The sequence below is a fragment of the Homo sapiens genome, chromosome 7 (assembly GCF_000001405.40).
Source record: "Homo sapiens chromosome 7, GRCh38.p14 Primary Assembly".
Lineage (NCBI taxonomy): Eukaryota > Metazoa > Chordata > Mammalia > Primates > Hominidae > Homo > Homo sapiens.
Window position 1 is genome coordinate 33,771,910 of NC_000007.14, and position 3,578 is coordinate 33,775,487.

At 40.7% G+C, this 3,578-nt stretch overlaps 1 annotated feature.

Annotated features, from left to right (window-relative positions):
• Window positions 442–1,641: an enhancer, noted in NCBI's record as "CDK7 strongly-dependent group 2 enhancer chr7:33811963-33813162 (GRCh37/hg19 assembly coordinates)". NCBI's record gives its function as "activates an origin of replication core promoter dependent on BRD2, BRD4, P300/CBP, MED14 and CDK7 cofactors, with strong dependence on CDK7, by STARR-seq in HCT116 cells {active_cell/tissue: HCT116}" and the evidence as "EXISTENCE:reporter gene assay evidence [ECO:0000049][PMID:35650434]".

Sequence of the window (3,578 nt, forward strand, 5' to 3'; positions counted from 1 at the left end):
ATATTTGAATTTTAAAATCAAAAACAGAATGCATTATAGCTTCTAACTATTGGATTAATTTGAAAACAGCTTTGTGGTGGAATTTTACAGTGGGCAGCATGAGGCCTGAGTGGAAATGGCTTCTTTTGTCCCACGTTAAATGTGATGCCACTTGAGGTCCTGGTCACAAATGGATCCAAATCGGAGGAGGAAATGGGAAACATTTTCCTTGCTCTAACATTCAACTCCACTGTTGGTCAAAGGAAACCCTTTCTGAGGAGCCAACTTTTCCAGAATAAAATGGAAGTCTGTATTGTTAGAGTGAGAACAAAGACACATCATTGCAGGTGTGGAAGGTCCGTCACTCAGGACTGACAATTGAGAAAGAGCTAGTGAATGCTGGTGTGTCTGCAGACGAGGAGACACAAATAGGCTGAGCTCAGAGGGCTCCAGTGTAGAGCTTTACCCATGGTCTTGAACCTGAGAGTTCTAAGCACTTGCTTGCTTTTAGTTTTCTAAATCATTCAGAGCATTTTTACCCATGGCCTCTAATATGGTGTGGATCTGTGTCCTCACCCAAATCTCGTGTCAAATTGTAATCCCCAATGTTGGAGGTGGAGGCTGGTGGGAGGTGATTGGATCATGGGGGCAGTTTCTCATGAATGATTTAGCACCATCTCCCTTGGTCAAGACAGTGAGTGAGTGAGTTATCATGAAATCTGTCTGTTTAAAAGTATGTAGTGCCTCCCTCCACCCTTCCTCCTCCTCTGGCCATGTAAGATGTGCTGGCTTCCCCTTCGTTTTCCACCATGACTGTAAGTTTCTTGAAGCCTCCCCAGAAGCTGAGCATGTGCCAGTATCATGCTTCCTGTACAGCCTGAAGAACTGTGTGCCAATTAAACCTCTTTCCTTTATAAATTATCTCGTCTCAGGTATTTCTTTATAGCAGTGCAAGAATGGACTCACACAGCCTCTCATGTTTCCCTGGAAGGCATGTGGAAGGACAGAGGAGAAAATAAAATCTTAAATTGAATTTTCAGGATGTACTGGACACTATGCTTTCACTTGACCTTATTTCACTTGGTTCCCAGGACTACTCCAGAAAATACAGTGTGTTATTCTTCCCATTTTGCTGGTAAGGAAACTGAGTTTCTGTTGGCTCTGTGCTTTTTCTCTTGTTAGGTGTGTCTGTTTCTGAATGACTATAGTATGTTGAGGAGAGTTAGAATAAAAGAGATCTGAGAAAATGATTCATTTGGAGCCATACATAGATACAGGAGAAAAGCAAAACAAAACATTAAACACATAAAGGAAACATAATTTGTCATTGGGAGTGAGGGAGTATCTATTGTTTATGACTAAGCATGACACCACAGAGGTTGTGTCCCCTAATCCAGTCCCTAATTCTGAATCACTGTGTGATTTGGTCATTTGCCTATATAGCAAGCTCATTATTTTTCAACTTAGAAAATGTTAGGGAGCCATGGTAATGATCCAAATCCATTTAGGTTTGGCAAGCCTGTAAACTTTCAAGCTCATTGAAAACAAACCCAAACAACAAAAGATAACAAGGGTTGACAAGGATATGGAGAAAAGGGAACCTTGTACACGGTTGGTAGGAATGTAAATTGATACAGCCATTATGGAATACAGTAGGTTCCTCAAAAAATTAAAACTAGAACTACCATATGATCTGGAAATTCCTCTGCTGGGTATATATTCAAAGAAAATGAAATCAGTTTCTCAAAAATACATCTGCATTCCTATGTTGATAGCAGCACTATTCACAGTAGCCAAGATATGGAATCAACCTAAGTGTCCATCAACAGATGATTGGATAAAGAAAATGTGGTGTGTATACACAATGGAGTAATGGAGTACTATTCAGCTTTTAAAAAGAAGGAAAAAAGAAGGAAATCCTGTCAAGTGCAACAACACACATGAATCTGGAGGACATTATGCTAAGTGAAATAAACCACACATGGTAAGACAAATATTATATGATTTCACTTATCGGTGGCATCTAAAACAGTCAAACTCATAGAAGCAGACAGTAGAATAGTAGTTTCTGGGAGATGCTGATCAAAGAGCAGAAAGTTTCTGTGAAGTTCTGGAGAACTAATGTACAGTATGGTGGCTATAGTAAATGGTACTGTATTATATACTTGAAATTTGCTAAGAGAGGAGATGTTCTCACTATACACATGCACACAAAGCTAACTCCATGAGGTGGTAGATATACCAATTAGCTTGATTGTGATCCTAATTTCACAACATCTACATATATCAAAGCATCATGTTGAACACTGTAAGTACAGAATATTTTTTGTATATCTCAATACAGCTGAGGGAATAAAGACAGAAAACAAAATGCAAGAGGCTTGAAAATGGTCAGTGTAATTTGGAAATGAAGGGAAGGTTTTGAAACAGACTCTTTTCATCAAGAGTCCCCAGTGTCCTAGTGATATGGTTTGGCTGTGTGACCATCTTGAACTGTAGTTCCCATAATCCCCACATGTCATGAGAGGGACCTAATGGGAAGTAATTGAATCATGGGGGTGGTTACCTCCATGCTGTTCTTGTCACAGTGGATGAGTTCTCACAAGATCAGATGGTTTTATAAGGGATTTTTCCGCTTTTGCTCAGCACTTCTTGTTCTTCTCTTTCTTGCCTCCATGTGAAGAAGGATGTGTTTCTTCCCCTTCCGCCATGATTGTAAGTTTCCGGAGGCCTACCCAGCCATGCAGAACTTTGAGTCAATTAACCCTCTTTCCTTTATAAATTACTCAGTCTTGGGTATTTCTTCATAGCAGCATGAGAATGGACTAATACACCTAGATTCAATGTGGTTTTAGCTTGCTTATCTTGAAGATGATGATGAAACATCTTCTTGCCACTCTAGGCCTATGGCAAAGTGGTTTTCAGGCTGTATTCCCGGGAATCCTATGGTTCCTTGGAGGATTCCCCATGGAGATCCTTTTGGAGGAAGGGTATGGTTAACCTGGAGAGGCTCTCAACAGTCTTTCCCTCATACTCTTCACCCTTGCAGGCCTCCACTTTAATCAGAACACCTCCACTTTTATTGCTTTTATGTATTGACTTTCTCTATTTGCTTTAGCTTGAAGCAGTTACATTGCAACTAACACCAATTTTTAAATCTAGGCTATGGGAATGGTAGCTCTTGGAATCCAATACAAAAAGCCCTCCCACAACGAGAATGGCCTTAAGGTTAATGACTTGGAGAGTTTCACCTGAGGGGGTATGAGCAAAGATTTAGGGAAGCATGTTTCACTTTCCAAAATCATGTCAGCTTTCATGACTAAAAAAGAACAAAACCATTGTGAACACAGAGCACATTAGAAAAAGAACAAAGTGTGGCAACACCACCAGTGAGATCAGACTGCGTTTAGCCACAGACTCACTGATTGGAGTTTTCTGATGAGGCAGACAGAGTTGTGGAAGGCTGCCAGGAAATTCTGGACATCAAATTGCTTTTGCTAAGCCAGCCCAGCGGTGTAGTAAAGAGCTGAGGAGTCCCAGGAGAGGGTTGGGAAAGGATCAGTCTCTGTTTCTTTACCCCTGATGTGGGCCTTTTTCGA